This window comes from Homo sapiens, chromosome 21 (genome assembly GCF_000001405.40).
Source record: "Homo sapiens chromosome 21, GRCh38.p14 Primary Assembly".
Taxonomy (NCBI): domain Eukaryota; kingdom Metazoa; phylum Chordata; class Mammalia; order Primates; family Hominidae; genus Homo; species Homo sapiens.
Window position 1 is genome coordinate 36,267,746 of NC_000021.9, and position 19,796 is coordinate 36,287,541.

The following is a 19,796-nucleotide window of genomic DNA, read 5'->3' on the forward strand; positions in this document are numbered from 1 at the left end:
CACAGTATAAAGAGAGGAATGTTACAGCTGGGCCACCAGGGGTGACATCACGTATCAGTAGGACCGTGATGCCCTCCTGAGCCTCAAACCAGCAAGTTTTTATTAAGGGTTTCAAAAGGGGAGGGGGTGTAAGAACAGGGAGTAGGTACAGAGATCACATGCTTCAAAGGGCAAAAAGCAGAACTAATAATAAGGGTCTAACAAAGATCACATACTTTTGAGGGAACAGGACAAAGGGCAAAAGCAGAACTACTGATAAGGGTCTATGTTCAGCGGTGCACGTATTGTCTTGATAAACATCTTATCTTAACAGAAAACAGCGTTGGAGAGCAGAGAACCGGTCTGACCACAGATTTACCAGGATGGAGTTTTTCCCCACTCTAGTAAGCCTGAGGGTACTGCAGGAGACCAGGGCGTATCTCAGTCCTTATCTCAACCGCATAAGACAGACATTCCCACAGTGGCTGTTTATAGACCTCACCCCAGGAATGCATTCCTTTCCCAGGGTATTAATATTAATATTCCTTGCTAGGAAAAGAATTTAGCGATATCTTCCCTACTTGCACGTCTGTTTATAGGCTCTCTGCAAGAAGAAAAATATGGCTCTTTTTTCCCAACCCCACAGGCAGTCAGACCTTATGGTTGTCTTCCCTTGTTCCCTAAAAATCACTGTTACTCTGTTCTTTTTCAAGGTGCACTGGTTTCATATTGTTCAAACACACGTTTTACAATCAATTTGTACAGTTAACACAATTATCACAGTGGTCCTGCCATGATGTACATCCTCAGCTTATGAAGATAACAGGATTAAGAGATTAAAGACAGGTGTAAGAAATTACAAAAGTATTATTTGGGAACTGATAAATGTCCATATTAAAATGAAATCTTCACAATTTATGTTCCTTTGCTGCGGCTCCAGTCGGTCCCTTTGTTCGGGGTCGCTGACTTCCCGCAACACTCTGTCACCAGGCTGGAGTGCAGTGGCACTATCTTGGCTCACCACAAGCTCTGTCATCTGGGTTCAAATGATTCTCCTGCCTCAGCCTCCCAGGTAGCTGGGATTACAGGCGTGCACCACCACGCCTAGCTAATTTTTGTATTTTTAGCAGAGACGGGGTTTCACCATGTTGGCCATCATGGTCTCAATCTCTTGACCTTGTGATCCGCCTGCCTCGGCCTCCCAAAGTGCTGGGATTACAGGCGTGAGCCACCGCGCCCGGCTGCAGTGAGTCTTGATTGCACCACTACACTCCAGCCTGGTTGACAGAGCAAGACCCTGTCCTGCCCACCACCTCCTAAAAAGAAAAATGTGGTAGTCTGAATTGAATGCACTGTAAGTGCAAAACACACATTGGATTTCAGACTTAGGGCACACACAAAAGAGAATGCAAAATCTGATTAATAGGTTGTTTTTGTTTTTTCTTTTTGAGACGAAGTTTCGCTCCTGTTGCCCAGGCTGGAGTGCAATGGCATGATCTAGGCTCACTGCAACCTCCACCTCCCGGGTTCAAGTGTTTCTCTTGCCTCAGCCTCCAAAGTAGCTGGGATTACAGGCATGCACCACCACACCCACCTAATTTTGTATTCTTACTAGAGACAGGGTTTCACCATGTTGGTCAGGCTGGTCTCAAACGCCTGACCTCAGGTGATCCGCCCGCCTCAGCCTCCCAAAATGCTGAGATTATAGGCATGAGCCACCACACCTAGCGTATTAATAATTTTTATATTGAGTGCATGTTGATAATATTTTGTATATATTGGGTTAAATAAAATACATTATTAATTTTTTTTTTGAAACGAAGTCTCACTCTGTCATCCAGACTGGAGTGCAGTGGCATGATCTCAGCTCACTGCAGCTTCCACTTCCTGGGATCAAGCGATTCTCTTGCCTAAGCCTCCCGAGTACTGGGACTACAGGCATGTGCCATCATGCCCAGCTAATTTTTGTATTTTTTTTAGTAGAGACAGGGTTTCACCATGTTGGCCAGGATGGTCTCAAACTCCTGACCTCAAGTGATCCCCCTGCCTCAGCCTCAGCCTCCCAAAGTGCTGGGATTACAGGCATGAGCCACTGCACCCAGCCTATATTATTAATTTAACTTTAACTGTTTATTTTTACCTTCAATGTGGCTCCTAGAAAGCTTAATGGTACGTATATGCTCACAGCTGTGGCCTGCATTTTATTTCTACTGGACAGTGCTGTTTTAGGCACTTAACATTCTTTTCCTTAATTAACTTCCTTTCCCCCTCCTCCTGATAATTCTCAGGAAATCACTCAGAAAATCCTAGAAGCTGTGGGGAACATTGCCGGCTCTTCCTTGGAGCAAACCAGCTGGCTAAGCAGAAACCTGGAAGTGAAGGCCCAACCTCAGGCCTCTCTAGAAGAATCTGATGCTGAGGAGGACCTGTATGGTAGGTGGAGATGGGTTGGCTGATAGTGCCTCTGGTCAGCGCGTGGTTCTGGCTTTTCCTTAAGAGAGATCTTGAGTGTTCTCACCACAAAAAGAAAGAAAGTACTTAAGGTAGGCTGGGTGCGGTGGCTCACGCCTGTAATCCCAGCACTTTGGGAGACCGAGATGGGCAGATAAAGCAAGGTCAGGAGTTTGAGACTAGCCTGGCCAACATGGCGAAACCCCGTCTCTACTAAAAGTAAAAAAATCAGCTGGGCACAGTGGTAAGCACCTGTGGTCCCAGCTACTTGGGAGGCTGAGGCAGGAGAATCGCTTCAACCTGGGAGGCGGAGGTTGCAGTGAGCCGAGATCACGCCACTGCGCTCCAGCCCAGGCGACAAAGCAAGACTCCGTCTCAAAAAAAAAAAAAAAAAAAAAAAAAAGTATTTAGAGCAGTGACAAGATGTTAGTCAAACTTTAGAAAACATCACTTTGAGGCCAGGCATGGTGGCTCACGCCTGTAATCCCAGCAGTTTGGGAGGCCGAGGTGGGTGGATCACCTGAGGTCAGGAGTTCAAGACCAGCCTGGCCAAGATGGTGAAACCCCATCTTAACTAAAAATACAAAAATTAGCCGCGCGTGGTAGTGGGCGCCTGTAATCCCAGCTACATGGGAGGCTGAGGCAGAGAATTGCTTGAACCTGGGAGGAGGAGGTTGCAGTGAGCCAAGATTGTACCACTGCACTCCAGCCTGGGCGACAGAGTGAGACTACACCTCAAAAAAAAAAAAAAGAAAGAAAGAAAGTACCTGAGGTGATGCATGTCTTAACTTGTGTTTTTTCACAATGTATGCATATATCAGCAGGGATGGTGAAATATTGAAAAAAGAAAACATATATCAAAACATCATGTTATAACCTGAAATGTATACCAGTTTTATTTGTCAGTTATATCTAATTAAAACTGGTAAGGGAAAAGATGTTGGAAAGTTAAAAAAAAAAAAAAAGTTTAGGCATAGGAAAAAGCAAACTACCTTCTCAAGTCTGTGTTCATTCACCCAGACTCTTTCTTTGTTTTTTGTTTTTGTTTTTTTGAGACAGAGTCTCGCTCTGTCACCCAGGTTGGAGTTCACCCAGGTTGGAGTTCACCCAGGTTGGAGTTCACCCAGGTTGGAGTTCACCCAGGTTGGAGTGCAGTGGCGTCATCTTGGCTCACTGCAACCTCCGCCTCCCTGGTTCAAGCCATTCTCCTGCCTCAGCCTCCCGAATAGCTGGGATTACAGACATCTACCACCATGCCTAGCTAATTTTTGTGGTTAGTAAAGACAGCGTTTCACCATGTTGGCCAGGCTGGTCTCAAACTCTTGACCTCAGGTGATCCACCCACCTCGGCCTCCCAAAGTGCTGGTATTACAGGCGTGAGCCTCTGCGCCCGGCCCAGACTCTTCCTTTGTATCCATAGCCAGATGACTGAACTGTCTGTTTTGACTTTTTACAACATACTATGTGTGTGTGCTAAACACCGGGACCCCTTAGCTGGTGTCCCACCATGTGTATGCCATCCTGCTGACCTTCACTGAGCCTCAGTGGGGCTCCAGAAAGTAACACCCCAAGACCATTTACCTGGACATGGTGATAGAAATCTGTGTGGGATAAAGATGATGAGAATGTGTGTGTTTCTTTTTGCAGAACTATGGAAAGAGAATTTAGCAAATCAAGCTGGGAGGGTTGGCTCATGCCTGTAATCCCAGCACTTTGGGAGGCTGAGGTGGGCGGGTCGCCTGAGGTGATTACAAATGATCCTTTTTTTTTTTTTTTCAGGATTAAGCATATCTTGGGGCAAGTGATTTTCTTTGCTACTGTCAGTGTCATTTAACACAGGGAAGGACAGTATGCCCAGTGCCAGTAGAGCTTAATACAACGTGAGAAAGGATGTTTGGTCCCAGTTTTATTTAATACAGGAACAAGAAACTACATTTCAGTTTTCAGTGTAAACTATCACAGTACCTGCCACAGAGTAATGTTCAAATATTGTTATCTTTCATTATTACTTCTACGAAAATTGTTAGCAGGGCTGGGTGTAGTGGCTCCCACCTGTAATCCCAGCACTTTGGGAGGCCAAGGTGAGAGGATGGCTTGAGGCTACAAGTTTAAGACTATCCTGGTTAGCGGGCATGGTGGCTCAGACCTGTAATCCCAACACTTTGGGATATACTCCATTTAAAAATAAATCAGGCCGGGCACAGTGGCTCAGGCCTGTAATCCCAGGACTTTGGGAGGCCAAGGTGAGTGGATCACCCGAGGTCAGGAGTTCGAGACTGGCCTGGCCAACTTGGCGAAACTCCATCTCTACTAAAAATACAAAAATTAGCCAGGTATGGTGGCGGGCATCTGTAGTCCCAGCTACTCAGGAGGCTGAGGCAGAATGACTTGAACCCGGAAGGTGGAGGTTGCAGTGAGCCAAGATCGTGCCACTACACTCCAGCCTGGGTGACAGAGCGACCAAACTCCATCTCAAAAAAAAAAAAAAAAAAGGACTATCCTAGTAACACAGCAAGACCCCATCTCAGGCCGGGCGCGGTGGCTCACGCCTGTAATCCCAGCACTTTGGGAGGCCGAGGTGGGCGGATCACCTGAGGTCCAGAGTTCGAGACCAGCCTGACCGACATGGAGAAACCCCATCTCTACTAAAAATACAAAATTAGCTGGGTGTGGTGGCGCATGCCTGGAATCCCATCTACTCCGGAGGCTGAGGCAGGAGAATGGCTTGAACCTGGGAGGCGGAGGTTACTGTGAGCCAAGATCGCACCATTGCACTCCAGCCTGGGCAACAAGAGCAAAACTCCATCTCAAAAAAAAAAAAAAAAAAAAAAAGACCCCATCTCTACAAAAGGGGAGGCAGAGGTTGCAGTGAGTCGAGATGGCGTCACTGCACTCCAGCCTGGGCGACAGAGCAAGACTCATCTCAAAAAAATAAATAAATAAAAATAAGGCCAGGTGCAGAGGCTCACACCTGTAATCCTAGCACTTTGGGAGGCTGAGGTGGGCAGATCACCTGAGGTCAGGAGTTCAAGACCAGCCTGGCCAGCATGATGAAACCCTGTCTCTACTAAAAATACAAAAATTAGCCAGGTATGGTAGTGTGTGCCTGTAATCCCAGCTACCCGGGAGGCTGAGGCAGGAGAATCACTGGAACCTGGGAGGCAGAGGCTGCAGTGCGCCGAGATCGTGCCACTGCACTCCAGTCTGGGCAACAGAGGGTGCAAACTCCATCTCAAAAAAAAAAAAGTTTTTTTAATGACTAAAAGAAAGTAAATTACCAAGAGAATTTCAGGTGGGACTTAGTACTGCGAGGAAAGTAAGAGTAATGTGATAAGGAGTGGCTGGTAGTGGGGCAGGGCCACTGTGAGTGTTACAGAACATGTCCCCAAGGAGGTGACAGTTGTGCTGAGAGATGAAAGACAAGGGGACAGCCCTGCAGAGGTCTGGGAAGGCACTGCCCCGAGGGGATTGCAGGCCTTGGCCACGGGAGTGGGCTTAGACCCAGCGACCTGAAGACCAGGACTCTGGAGCTTCATGAAAGTGGTGGGAAGAGGTCAGAGAAAGGGTGGAGACTGATGAGACTGATGGTTGTCGGGCTTGGTAGAAAGCACACTAAGGGGCCGGGCACAGTGGCTCACACCTGTAATCCCAGCACTTTGGGAGGCCGAGGCGGGCGGATCACGAGGTCAGGAGATCGAGACCATCCTGGCTAACATGGTGAAACCCCGTCTCTACTAAAAATACAAAAAGAAATTAGCCGGGTGTGGTGGCAGGTACCTGTAGTCCCAGCTACTGGGGAGGCTGAGGCAGGAGAATGGCGTGAACCAGGGAGGTGGAGGTTGCAGTGAGCCGAGATCGCGCCGCTCCACTCCAGCCTAGGCAACAGAGACTCTGTCTCAAAAAAAGAAAGAAAGCACACTAAGGAGCTTGGATTTCATCCCACTTGCCACAGGTAGCCTTAAAGTACTTAGAGCAGCCACATGTTAGTCAAACTTTAAAAACCATCACTTTGGCTGCTGTGATCAGTACAGTGTGTATTGGATGAGCACAGAAACTGGAAGTCCAGGTAAAAGGATTTTGCGCTGGTTAAGGCAGAAGATGATTCTGGCTTGGAGGCAGGGTCAACAGAAAGGGACAGTTTAAATGCAGAGTCAGCAGGATTTGCTGATGGATCGGATGTAGTTATTTTAGAAAATGCAGCCAAGGATGACAGGTTTTTGGCTTAAGCAATTTACCAAGGTGGAAAAAACAGAAGAAAAAACATTTCGTAGAGAAAAATTGAGCTTGATTTTGCACATGTTAAGTCGGAAATGATGGAAAAGAGAAGGACCCAGCAAAGATGATTAAGCAGTCACTGAGGTGGGTGAACCAAGAGAGCATAGAGCCTTGGAGTCTGGGAGGAGACAATGTGTCCGAAGGCCCCAGGGGCAGACACACGGTGGAGGGCCGCTGAGAAGCAAAGTGCAACAGGAAGGGGCAACAGGAGCTGACAATGTAGAATTCATCGGGGTGGGTGGTCAGGATGGTGAGGGGACACTTGAGAAACAGGTGGAGAAGAGGATGGGAATGGAGCAAGGGGAGACAGTGGAGGTCGGTAACTCTTTGAGGCTAGTTGTCCATAGGGCAGTAGCCAAGCAGAATTAAGGACCAGAGAATGTTTTGTTGTTGTTGTTTTGTGTGTTTGTTTGAGATGGAGTCTCGCTCTGTTGCCCAGGCAGGAGTGCAGTGGCGTGATCTTGGCTCACTGCAACCTCTGCCTCCTGGGTTCAAGCAATTCTTCTGCCTCAGCCTCCCAAGTAGCTGGGATTACAGGTGCACGCCACCACACCTGGGTAATTTTTGTATTTTTGACAGAGACAGGGTTTCACCATGTTGGCCAGGCTGGTCTCGAACTCCTGACCTCAAGCGATCTGCCCGCCTTGGCCTCCCAAAGTGCTGGGATTACAGGCCTGAACCACTGCACCCGGCCTGATTTGTTTTTAAATGGAGGATATCAAAGCCTATTTGCATGGTGACAGAACAGTACAGCAGAGAGGAAGAAATTAATTCAAGAGAGAGGAAGGATAATTAGCAGAGTCCTTGATGGCCACAGGGCCAGGATTGGGATCATAAATGGAATTATTGTTATTTGATAGGAGTCAGGAACATATCTATTAAAACAGGAGATGAGGCTGGGCACAGTGGCTCACGCCTGTAATCCCAGCACTTTGGGAGGCTGAGGCTAGCAGTTTGCTTGAGCCCAGGAGTTCGAGACCAGCCTGGACAACACAGTGAAAAATCCCCATCTCTACAAAAATTACAGCCTGTAGTAATGGGACCTGTAGTTCCAGCTTCTGAGGAGGCTGAGGTGGGAAGATCACTTGAGTCCAGGAGGCGGAGGCTGCAGTGAGCCAAGATTGCACCACTGTACTCCAGCCTGGGCAACAAAGCGAGAACTTGTCTCAAAAAAAAAAAAAAAAGAATTATGTTGGAGAGTGGGAAAGCCAGCACCCCACCTGGGAACATGTGGTAGCATCAAGTCCCTTGAGAGATTCATGGTCATGACATAAAGTAAGATCAGTTGCTTGGTGGTCTGGTTTGCTCTGGAACATTTAGCTACACATAACTACGTAGACAGATCATTGGGTGTACCCAGCAGTGCATTCTTCTAGGTGAGTCCTTCCGAGGGAAAGAAGCAAAGGAGTGAAGGGTAGATGACTGACCCTGGGTGTGGGTGGGAGGTGAGGACCTGTAGCAGCTGCTGGGTAGTTAGGCAGTAGGACTCAGGGACTGGAAAGCTGTCCTAGGATGCAGGAAAATGCCAGAGGGGTGGTCAGAGGAGGATGCTGGAAACGGAGATTTGAGAAGCTGGTGAGGTCAAGGGTATGACAGTGGTGGAGCTGGAGCGGAGTCGGGGATGGTTAGAAGAGAAGAAGGCCAGGGGCTTAGAGGCTGGGATGTAGGAGGGAGCATCCAAAGGGGTCGTGCAGTTTCAAGAACGATGATGAGAATGGAAATGGAGAGGATGTTAGTGAGTTAGTGCTAATTTATTTGATCAAAATATCCAGATTCTTAGTTGTTGAAACTGAATGTTGGCAGGGTGCAGTGGCTCACACCTATAGTCCTAGCACTTAGGGAGGCCAAGGCAGGCAAATTACTTGAGCCCAGGAATTCAAGACCACCCTGGGCAACATAGCAAGACTTTGTCTCTATAAATAATTTTAAAATTACCTGGGCGTGGTGATGTGTGCCTGTGCCCCCAGCTACTCGGGAGGCTAAGGCAGGAGGATCATTTGAGCCTGGGAGGTCAAGGATAGAGTGAGCCATGATCATGCCACTGCACTCCAGCTTGGGTGACAGAGCAAGATCCTGTCTCAAAAATAAAAATAAAAAAGTTGAATGATGGCCAGGCACGGTGGCTCACGCCTGTAATCTCAGCACTTTGGGAGACCAAGGCAGGAGGATCGCTTGAGGCCAGGAGTTCGAGACCAGCCTGGCCAACATGGCAAAACCCCGTCTCTACTAAAAATACAAAAATTAGCCAGGCATGGTGGCACATGCCTGTAGTCCCAGTTACTCGGGAAGATGAGGCAAGAGAATTGCTTAAACCTGGGAGGTGGAGGCTACAGTGAGCCGAGATCACACCACTGCACTCCAGCCTGGGTGACAGGGTGAGACTCCATCTCAAAAAAAAAAAAAAAAAAAGAAAAAGCTGAAAGTTAACAGAGAGGAATACCTGAGTCATATGGACACAATTGGTATGAAAGGCGGGAGCTGATGGCTCACATTCATGCAGGGCTTTTGGGGACAGTAAATGGTGACCCATCCATCATAGTTAACATACAAATGGCTCTTTCTGTTCACAGATGCTGCTGCAGCTTCAGCAATGGTGTCTTCATCCGCCCCGTCGGTGTACAGCGTGCAAGCCCTCTCTCTCCTGGCAGAGGTAAATACACACCTGACCTGTCGTCCTTTATGGAAATGAGCGCCATCACGAATTGTTGCAAAGACATTTGTTCATTCCCAGGTGCCAGTGAGCGTGGGCCGCACCCTCCCAGGTGAGCTCGTCCATCAGGCAGCATTGGCCTCAAGCTGCACCATGGAGTTTTGGGTTAGGTTTTGCTTTAAGGACTGCACTTTTTTTTTTGAGACAGATTCTTGCTCTGTTGCCAGGCTGGAGTGCAGTGGCGCGATCTCAGCTCACTGCAACCTCCACCTCCCGGGTTCAAGCGATTCCGCTGCCTCAGCCTCCTGAGTAGCTGGGACTACAGGTGCGCGCCATCACGCCCAGCTAGTTTTTAGTATTTTAGTAGAGACGGGGTTTCACTGTGTTGGCCAGGATGGTCTCAATCTCCTGACCTCGTGATCCACCCACCTTGGCCTCCCAAAGAGCTGGGATTACAGGCGTGACCCACCGCTCCCAGCCATAACTGCTTTTCTTATTGTTGCTCGCTTCCAAGGGTTTCTGTTTTCTTTCTTTTTTTTTTCTTTTTCTTTCTGTTTTCTTTTTTTGAGATGGAGTCTCGCTCTGGAGTCTGCACTCAGGCTGGAGTGCAGTGGCGTGATCTCGGCTCACTGCAACCTCTGCCTCCTGGGTTCAAGCAGTTCTCCTGCCTCAGCCTCCTGAGTAGCTGGGATTACAGGACCTGGCTAATTTTTGTATTTTTAGTAGAGATGGGGTTTCACCATGTTGGCCAGACTGGTCTCAAACTCCCAGCCTCAAGTGATCCGCCCTCCTCAGCCTCCCGAAGTGCTGGGATTACAGGTGTGAGCCGTCGCACCTGGCCAGTTTCTGTTTTCTTAGGGCCTTGTTCTTTTAGGTACTGGCTTCCCTCCTGGACATGGTTTATCGAAGTGATGAGAAGGAGAAAGCTGTGCCGTTAATCTCCCGTCTGCTTTACTATGTTTTTCCATACTTACGCAACCACAGGTAACGTCATCTTCGCCATTTCTTCCCACCCATATGCAGAAAAATATGTTTTCACAAATGAATCAAGTAGTTTTCCTTGGACAGTCCTTGACCTTGACCCTTCTCTCTTCCCACTCCCACTCAGTGCCTACAATGCTCCCAGCTTCCGGGCTGGCGCTCAGCTGCTGAGCTCCCTGAGTGGCTATGCCTACACAAAGCGAGCCTGGAGGAAGGAGGTCCTGGAGCTGTTTCTCGACCCCGCTTTCTTTCAGATGGATACTTCCTGTGTTCAGTAAGATATGCTGTCCTGATAACAACGTGCTCTGAATCTTCAGGTGGAAATGGCATTTTGGTTTACAGAATTCTCATTCCTGAAATAGAAGCAGAGCCATAGGATCAACCCAAATAACAGGACGTCCCTGTCACAGGCTCGCATGTTGACCATGTGTTCATGGGAAAGGGATCAAGTCTTTTAAAGTACAAAGAGGAATATCACTTAATTCAGAGAGCATGTTATTTCCTGGCTGGGCACGGTGGCTCATGCCTGTAATCCCAGCATTTTGGGAGGCTAAGGTGGGTGGATCACCTGAGCCCAGGAGTTCGAGACCAGCCTGGCCAACATGGCGAAACCCCGTCTCTACAAAAAAATTCAAAAATTAGCCGGGCATGGCAGCGCACACCTGTAGTTCCAGCTACTCGGGAGGCTGAGGTATGAGAATCGCTTGAACCTGGGAAGTGAAGCTTGCAGTGAGTCAAGATCCCACCACTGCACTCCAGCCTGGGCAACAAGAGTGAAACTCTGTCTCAAATAAATAAACAGCAGAACTTGGGGTTCCAGTGATACTTGTTCTATCTAATACTGCTTTGTCTTGTAATCACAAAATAATTGGCCAGTGTTAAGATGACAGAGCCCACTGGGTGACCCTGGGGGTGTCTTTACCCCACTTCTCGGCTGATACTCCACAAGTTCTTACTGAGATCTTGCAGCAGCCAAGCAGAGATCCACTGAGACTCAGATGCAAGATGTGCTCCTGGGCCTTTTCCTGAGATAAAGAAAATCACTCAGGGCTGGTCATGGTGGCTCACACCTGTAATCCAACATTTTGGGAGGCTTAGGCAGGAGGATTGCTTGAGCCCAGGAGTTGGAGACCAGCCTGGGCAACAAAGTGAAACCCCATCTCTACAAAAAAAAAAAATCAAAAAAATTAGCCAGGCATGCGGGCATATGCCTGTGGTCCCAGCTACATGGAAGCCTGAGGCAGGAGGATCGCTTGAGCCCAGGAGGTTGAGGCTGCAGTGAGCTGTGATTGTGCCACTGCACTCCAGCCTGGGTGACAGCACACGACCCTGGGCCCTGTCTCAAAATAACCAGAAAGAAAGAAAGAAAGCCACTCCTTTATTAATGACAGGAAGGCTTAGCGATAGAGGGTAGAGATTGGGAACCCTTTTTGTATGGCATGAAAGCATGGCCACCCCCAGAGGGCTGCTGGTGGCCCTGTGGCCTCCCTCCACGTGATCTTGTTGCTCTGCTGGGGTAGCTCATTTGGAAAGAAAAGCTAAGGGTGGTATTTGTCTTCACTATCCCACTCTTTTCATCAACACAACTGTGTGAATATCATCCTGTATGAACATATTTAAGAATAACCCTTGAAAAAGCCAGAGTGCCTTGTCAGTTTGTTTCTTTGTGGTAAACTGGAAAAAGTCATCATTCATTCCCTATGTTAGGGTTATAAATGAAAAGCTTTTTCGTAGCTTTCTTTTATATGTAAACTATTTATTTCTATCACTAACCTCTTTTCAGAAAGCAGTTTTTTTGTTTGTTTGTTTTTGAGATGGAGTTTTGCTCTTGTTGCCCAGGCTAGAGTGCTATGGCACAATCTCAGCTCACCACAACCTCCACCTCCCGGGTTCAAGCGATTCTCCTGCCTCAGCCTCCTGAGTAGCTGGGATTACAGGCATGCGCCACCACGCCCTGCTAATTTTGTATTTTTAGTAGAGACAGGGTTTCTCCATGTTGCTCAGGCTGGTCTTGAACTCCCAACCTCAGGTGATCCGCCCACCTCGGCCTCCCAAAGTGCTGGGATTATAGGCGTGAGCCACTGCACCTGGCCCAGAAAGCAGTTTTTAATATATCTTAAGAGGATATGTTATTTTCTTAATGTTTTGAATCAAACTATCATCCACTGCAAATTTAATTGATTTTGCTTTCTTTAATATCCAGTTGGAAGTCCATTATTGACCATCTTTTGACTCATGAGAAAACAATGTTTAAGGATTTAATGAGTAAGTTCTGTGTTACTTTTGCATAACTCACACTTGATAGGATCAATGCCAATATAACCAGCTTTCATCATGTATTTCCGAACCCTACTCACACTTTCATGGTGCTGTCTACGCCACAAAGACTGTAATGTGATGTTCATAATATGGCAGGACTAAATCAATGAGTCTTTTCCAGTTGCAATTTATTGACAAGAACGCCACGACAACCTTTTTCATAGTTTTATAGTGGAGAAATACTGCCGAAAGCATCCAGCTTCACATCTTGACATTTGTGCTGAAAGTAATAAGTTTCTATAATTTACTAGGAGGACTTTTCTACACCTCAGATCCCTTCTCATGCACTATCATTAAGTATCATTAAAGAAATAAGTATTGGGCTGGGCACGGTGGCTCACGCCTGTAATCCCAGCACTTTGGGAGGCTGAGATGGGCGGATCACAGGGTCAGGAGATCGAGACCATCCTGGCTAACACGGTGAAACCCCGTCTCTACTAAAAATACAAAAAATAGCCAGGCATAGTGGCGGGCGCCTGTAGTCCCAGCTACTCGGGAGGCTGAGGCAGGAGAATGGCATGAACCCGGGAGGCAGAGATTACAGTGAGCCAAGATCGTGCCACTGCACTCCAGCCTGGGCGACAGAGCGAAAATCCTTCTCAAAAAAATAAAAAAATAAGTATTGGCTGGGCACAGTGGCTCACGCCAATCCCAGCACTTTGAGTGGCTGAGGTGGGTGGATCATTTGAGCCCAGGGGTTCAAGACCAGCCTGGGCAACATAGCGAAACCCCATCTCTACAAAAAATTAACCAGGCACTGTGGCACGCACCTGTAGTCCCAGCTACTTGGGAGACTGAGGCAGGAGGATCGCTTGAACCCAGGAGGTCGAGGCCGCAGTGAGCTGTGATCCCACCACTGCACTCCAGGCTGGGTGATAGAATGAGATCCTGTCTCAAATAAGAAATAAAAAGAGAAATAACTATTTTTTAAATATACATGGGAACAGTAATCTCATGTCCTTACTTAATAAAGATCATGATTTTTCACCAGGGAATATAGAATTACACTAGTATGAATTTCCCATCACTTCCCTCCAATTGTGGTTTTCTCACTAAGTAAAACATTGCTGTATTTATTCTAGACATGCAGAGCAGTTCTTTGAAACTATTCTCAAGTTTTGAACAGAAAGCCATGCTGTTAAAGCGCCAGGCTTTTGCTGTCTTCAGTGGAGAACTTGATCAATACCACCTTTACCTTCCACTGATACAAGGTAAGACAGCTGTCTTAGTCTGTTTTTTGCTGCTATAACAGAATACCTGAGACTGGGGAATTTATAAAAACAGAAATTTATTGCCTCACAGTTCTGGAGGCTGAGAAGTCCTATATCCAGGGCTGGCGTCTGGCAAGGGCCTTCTTGCTGCAACATCCTATGGCAGAAGGTGGAAAGGCAAAAGAGCAAGAGGGGGCTGAACCTGCCCTTTTATTACAGTACCAATCCCATCCATGATGTGGCCTAATCACCTCTTAAAGGCCCCACTTCCCGATAACATTACATTTACAATAAAATTTGAGCATGCATTTTGGACAGGACAAACATTCAAACCACAGCAACAGCTGACCTGCCCTCACTGCCCCCACACACAGATAGACCCATGAGGGGCTGAGATGATTAAGTACTAGAGGGGTCTACTGCGTGCTTTGGCATGATTGTCACTTGTTAAAACAAGTATTCTGCAGAGTTATAGAACTTCAGAAGTATATTGGTAAATCTGAAACTTTATTTTAAAATCAATTATAGGTCAGGTACAGTGGCTCATGCCTGTAATCCCAGCACTTTGGGAGGCCCAGGTGGGTGGATGACTTGAGATCAGGAGTTCAAGACCAGCCTGACCAACGTGGTGAAACCCCATCTCTACTAAAAATACAAAATTAGCCAGGCGTGATGGTGCGCACCTGTAATCCCAGCTACTTGAGGCTGAGGCAGGAGTATCACTTAAACCCAGGAGGCCAAGGTTGCAGTAAGCCAAGATCACACCACTGCACTCCAGCCTGGGCAACAAGAGCGAAACTCTGTCTCTAAATAAATACATAATAAAATCAATTACAGTGTTATTAATTTGTATTAGTTTTTAAAAGTCTGACCACAGTATAGGAATAATACTTCCTCAGCACTGTCTCTTGCTAGAGTCCTCCTGCAGTCAAGGTACTCGGTGTTTACAGTACTCCCTTAATCAGCACCTTCAGCTGAGGCCAGGGAAGGGGCAAGATTTTGGAGAAGGATCTAATTTTTCCTTAACAATTTTTTTTTCATCCCCACTACATTCTTTGACTGCATCAAAAATAATTATTGCTGACTGGGCACGGTGGCTCACGCCTGTAATCCCAGCACTTTCAGAGGCCAAGGCGGGTGGATCTCTTGAGGTCAGGAGTTTGACATCAGCCTGCCCAATGTGGTAAAACCCCATCTCTACTAAAAATACAAAAATAAGCCTGGTGTGGTGACTCATGCCTATAATCCCAGCTACTGGGGAGGCAGAAGCAGGAGAATCGCTTGAACCTGGTAGGCACTGAGCCGAGATTGTGCCACTGCACTCCAGCCTGGGTGACAGAGAGAGACTCCATTGCAAAAATAAATAAATAAATTGTTATTATTATTGCCAACATCGTACGTGATTGTCAGGGTTTTTTTTTTTTTTTCCTTCTCATAAAATGTTCAGGTGGCAAAGTTGACATTCTGTTTTGTTTTTGTTTTCATTTTGAGCCAGGGTCTCCCTCTGTCACCCAGGCTGGAGTGCAGTGGCGCAGTCTCGCCTCATTGAAACCTCCGCCTCCTAGGTTCAAGTGATTCTCCTGCCTCAGCCTCCAAGTAGCTGGGATTACAGGCACCCACCACCATGTCCGGCTAATTTTTGAATTTTTTTAGTAGAGACAGGGTTTCACCATGTTGGCCAGGCTGGTCGCGAACTCCTGACCTCAGGTGATCTGCCCACCTTGGCCTCCCAAAGTGCTTGGATTACAGGCATGAGCCACCGCACCCAGCCGGAAAGATCTTGTTTTAGTTCAAAGCATTAACAGCGTTGACTCGTTAGTCATGATAACTTACATATGCAATAATAAAACACCTTTACACTTTAACTGACATAATTTCCGCATGTAGTGCACATAAGATTTTTACCTTGTAATATCTTGAACACTTAAGAAACATGAAAGAAAACTTTCAAATATTAACAAGTCCAGTTGGCGTGCCTTGCTTGAATAACTGTGATAGGAGGATGATTTAATCAGACGGTAACCAGGAGCACCAGTAAAGGTAATGTCAGCTCTCCAAAGACTGTGGCTAAATGCAAGGTCAGAGCTGAACTTTGTTGCCTCCCTACAAAATCTGGAGAGAAAAAGAACAACAGGAATCACCTTTTCTTTAGTTCATGTGCAGTATAGGGGAGGATTCTTTATGAACCCAACCACTAGACAGTGGCCCTAAGGGAAGCAGTAAGCCTACTTTCTCAGTGGAGGAAAATGAAAAGGAGAGCATATTGGGCAATGTACCTGATAACCCTTTCAGTGCCTTTTCAGTCTAAGAGCAGACACCTGTTCCTTTTTTTTTTTTTTTTTTTTTTTTCCTTTGAGATGGAGTCTTGCTCTGTCACCCAGGCTGGAGTACAGTGGCACAATCTCGGCTCACTGCAACCTCCACCTCCCAGGTTCAAGCAATTCTCCTGCCTCAGCCTCCAAAGTAGCTGAGATTACAGGCACCAGCCACCACACTCAGCTAATTTTTTTGTACTTTTAGTAGAGATGGGGTTTCGCCATGTTGACCAGGCTGATTTCAAACTCCTGACCTCAAGTGATCCGCCTGTGTTGGCCTCCCAAAGTGCTGGGATTACAGGCATGAGCCACCGTGGCCAACCACCTGTTCCTTCTTTCTTTTTTTTTTTTTTTTTTTTTTTGAGACGGAGTCTCGCTCTGTCGCCCAGGCTGGAGTGCAGTGGTGCAATCTCTGCTCACTGCAATCTCTGCCTCCCGGGTTCAAGCAATTCTCCTGCCTCAGCCTCCTGAGTAGCTGAGATTACAGGCACACAACACCACGCCCAGCTAATTTTTGTATTTTTAGTAGAGACAGGGTTTCACCATGTTGGTCATGCTGGTCTCAAACTCCTGACCCCGTGATCCACCTGCCTCGGCCTCCCAAAGTGCTGGGATTACAGGCATGAGCCACTGCGCCCAGCCCTGTTCCTTCTTTCTACCCCATCTCACACTCCTCTCAAATTTGGGAGGAAGCCCAGATAGCTAAATAGACAGCATTAGGTGTATAGAAGCTAGAACCAAAAAAACAAAAAGATAGACAACATTCTGAAACAGGGGTGTGGAGAATTTGACCATGGTAGAGTTTAAACACCCAGCAATTCTGAGAAATTATTTCTCTGAGAGGGAGCAAGCACAGGCAATATAATAGAATATATATATAAAAAACATGTTTTACATAATATATTAATATGTTATATAATTATATGACATTGTAACATGTAATTATTATATTTGTATTATATTGACATGATTGTAATAACTAATAGGTAATGATTATATAAATAGTAATATTAAATATTATACTATATAACAATATACTTGTTTATATTATATATTCAAATATGCAATAAAGGCAGCAGAATGCTAACTGAAAATGGAGGTAGGTTTTGGGCTCTTGGGAAAAGAGAAATTTTTTTGTTGTTGTTGGGAGGGGAACGGAGTCTCACTCTGTTGCCCAGGCTGGAGTGCAGTGGCACAATCTTGGCTCACTGCAACCTCCGCCTCCTAGGTTCAAGTGATTCTCCTGCCTCAGCCTCTCAAGTAGCTGGGATTACAGGCACCCACCACCATGCCTGGCTTATTTTTGTATTTTTAGTAGAGATAGGGTTTCACCATGTTGGCCAGGCTGGTCTCGAACTCCTGACCTCAAGTGATCCACCCGCCTCAGCCTCCCAAAGTGCTGGGATTACAGGCATGAGCCACCATGTCTGGCCGGGAAAAAGAATTTCTAAATAAATACGCTTCGTTTTGGATAGCTCAAGTGCTATATTTCTAAAAATACTACGTGTTTTTAAAAAATAAGCCTTTTGCCCTGTTTTCATTTTTGATGAACTGACAGTTTACAGAGCACTTTCCTACATGTTGTCGTTGTCCCCAGGATGCTCGTGGATAGGCCCAGCCCCCCTGAGTCCTGGGTTGATGGCACTCAGAGTGTCCTCTGCCAGAGCTGTGGGACACTGAACTTGCCTGGAGATGCCCTGTGGAGGGATGATGCCCACATCTGCCTCAGAGAGGTAGATGCATCCAGAAGCTCCCAAGAAGTGTCCCATAGTAAATAGTTTGGGCCCAATTAAAAGAGGCAGGAGGCTGGGCACAGTGGCCTGTAATCCCAGCACCTTGGGAGGCTGTGGTGGGCAGGTCACTTGAGGTCAGGAGTTCAAGACCAACCTGGCCAACATGGTGAAACCCCACCTCTACTAAAAATACAAAAAGTTAGCTGAGCATGGTTTCAGGCGCCTATAATCCCAGCTACTTGGGAGGCTGAGGCAGGAGAATTGCTTGAACCCTGGAGGCGGAGGTTGCAATGAGCCGAGATCGCGCCACTGCACTCCAGCCTGGGTGACAGAGTGAGTGAGACTCCATCTCAAAAAAAAAAAAGAGACAGGAGTGGAGAATTTCTAACACTTCTCTCCTGGGATACCGTTTGGGGTCCTTTTCCCCGGACACTGTTGCACCATCGAGTAGCAGAGAAGGAGATGGGGAGCTGAGCAGCTCTGTATGTCTCGGCTCAGAGTGACATCAGTCTTACGTCTTTGGGGGCTGGGAAGATGTAGGTGAAAGGATACGAAGGTGCAATTATGGAGGATGAGTAAGTCTAGAAAAGGCATGTACAACATGAGGACTGTCGTTAATAACACTGCATATGTACTGGGAATTTGCCAAGAGAGTAGATTTTAGGTGCTCTTACCACAAAAAAGAAAGGTCAAAGACAGGCGCGGTGGCTCATGCCTGTAATCCCAGCACTTTGAGAAGCCAAGGAGGGCAGATCACGTGAGGTCAGGAGTTCAAGACCAGCATGGCCAACATGGTGAAACCCCATATCTACTAAAAATACCAAAAATTAGCTGGGTGTGGTGGTGGGTGCCTATAATCCCAGCTACTCGGGAAGCTGAGGCATGAGAATCATTTGAACCCAGGAGGCAGAGGCTGCAGTGAGCCGAGATCGCACCACTGTACTCCAGCCTGAGTGACAGAGTAAGACTCCATCTCAAAAACACACACACACACACACACACACACACACACACAAAACTGACTGAGCATGGCAGCTCACGCCTGTAATCCCAGCACTTTGGGAGTCCAAGGCAGGTGGATCATCTGAGGTCAGGAGTTAAAAGATCAGCCTGGCCAACATGGCTAAACCCTATCTCTACTAAAAATACAAAAAATTAGCCGGGCATGGTGGCAGACACCTGTAATCCCAACTACTCTGGAGGCTGAGGCAGGAGAATTGCTTGAACCCGGGAGGCGGAGGTTGTAGTGAGCGGAGACTGCTCTGCTGCCCTCTAGCCTGGGCAACAGAGTGAGACTCCATCTCAAAAAAAAAAAAAATTTATTACTAATATACTAATGTACTAATGTACTACAGCCGATCTTAGCTAGCATGACTACCATTCAGCTGTTTGCTGTAGCAATTTGTTACATTCCTAGGAAACCTTAAGCTATGGAAGAAAAAAAAAGTCTCATTCTACAAACAAGACATTTCAGGGGAGAAGCAGGGGAGAGTGTTAGGGGCTAGAGAGTGTTATTTGAAACACTTTTCCCTCCATAGGAATGAAAGTTTTTGTCATGGCCATCAAGTTTAAACCTTACTCAGTAAATCTGTTATATTTACTTGCTCCGCTTCCCACCCACCACCCTCAAAATATGGTGTTGTCTGCCAGCCAGTCCATATGATTGTGTAAGTCCATTCCTCACCATGGGCTGCTTGGTTTCTGCGTCTCCTCATTCATATTCTTAAAAGAACATTGAAATGGCTGTTGGTCATCCAGTGGATTTCTGGTGACAGATGTTCATGTCTTTCTACTCAGCTGTGGCAGGGGGACGGCCTGTGGGAATCATTTCCTTAGGTTTGGCAAGAGCCATGAACTGCTGTATTTCACAAAGAAGAGGGCT

The 19,796-nt window shown here is 46.9% G+C and overlaps 1 protein-coding gene across 4 annotated transcripts in view, besides 1 other annotated feature; it reads left to right on the plus strand.

The window, feature by feature from the left end:
* The window catches only part of DOP1B (DOP1 leucine zipper like protein B), a 137,451-nt gene that overhangs the window by 110,922 nt on the left and 6,733 nt on the right, over window positions 1-19,796 (plus strand). For all 4 annotated transcript variants that reach the window (XR_937581.4, NM_001320714.2, NM_005128.4 and 1 more), the window contains 6 exons: window positions 2,268-2,412; window positions 9,276-9,355; window positions 10,230-10,339; window positions 10,464-10,610; window positions 12,540-12,601; window positions 13,738-13,866. Coding sequence is in view for 3 of the 4 variants with exons in the window: in NM_001320714.2 (NP_001307643.1) it covers window positions 2,268-2,412; window positions 9,276-9,355; window positions 10,230-10,339; window positions 10,464-10,610; window positions 12,540-12,601; window positions 13,738-13,866 (673 nt within the window). In the remaining variant the exon portion in view is untranslated. The remainder of the gene's footprint in view (window positions 1-2,267; window positions 2,413-9,275; window positions 9,356-10,229; window positions 10,340-10,463; window positions 10,611-12,539; window positions 12,602-13,737; window positions 13,867-19,796) is intronic.
* Window positions 14,483-14,602: a silencer, noted in NCBI's record as "silent region_13282". NCBI's record gives its function as "represses an Ori minimal core promoter by ATAC-STARR-seq in GM12878 lymphoblastoid cells {active_cell/tissue: GM12878}" and the evidence as "EXISTENCE:reporter gene assay evidence [ECO:0000049][PMID:35858748]".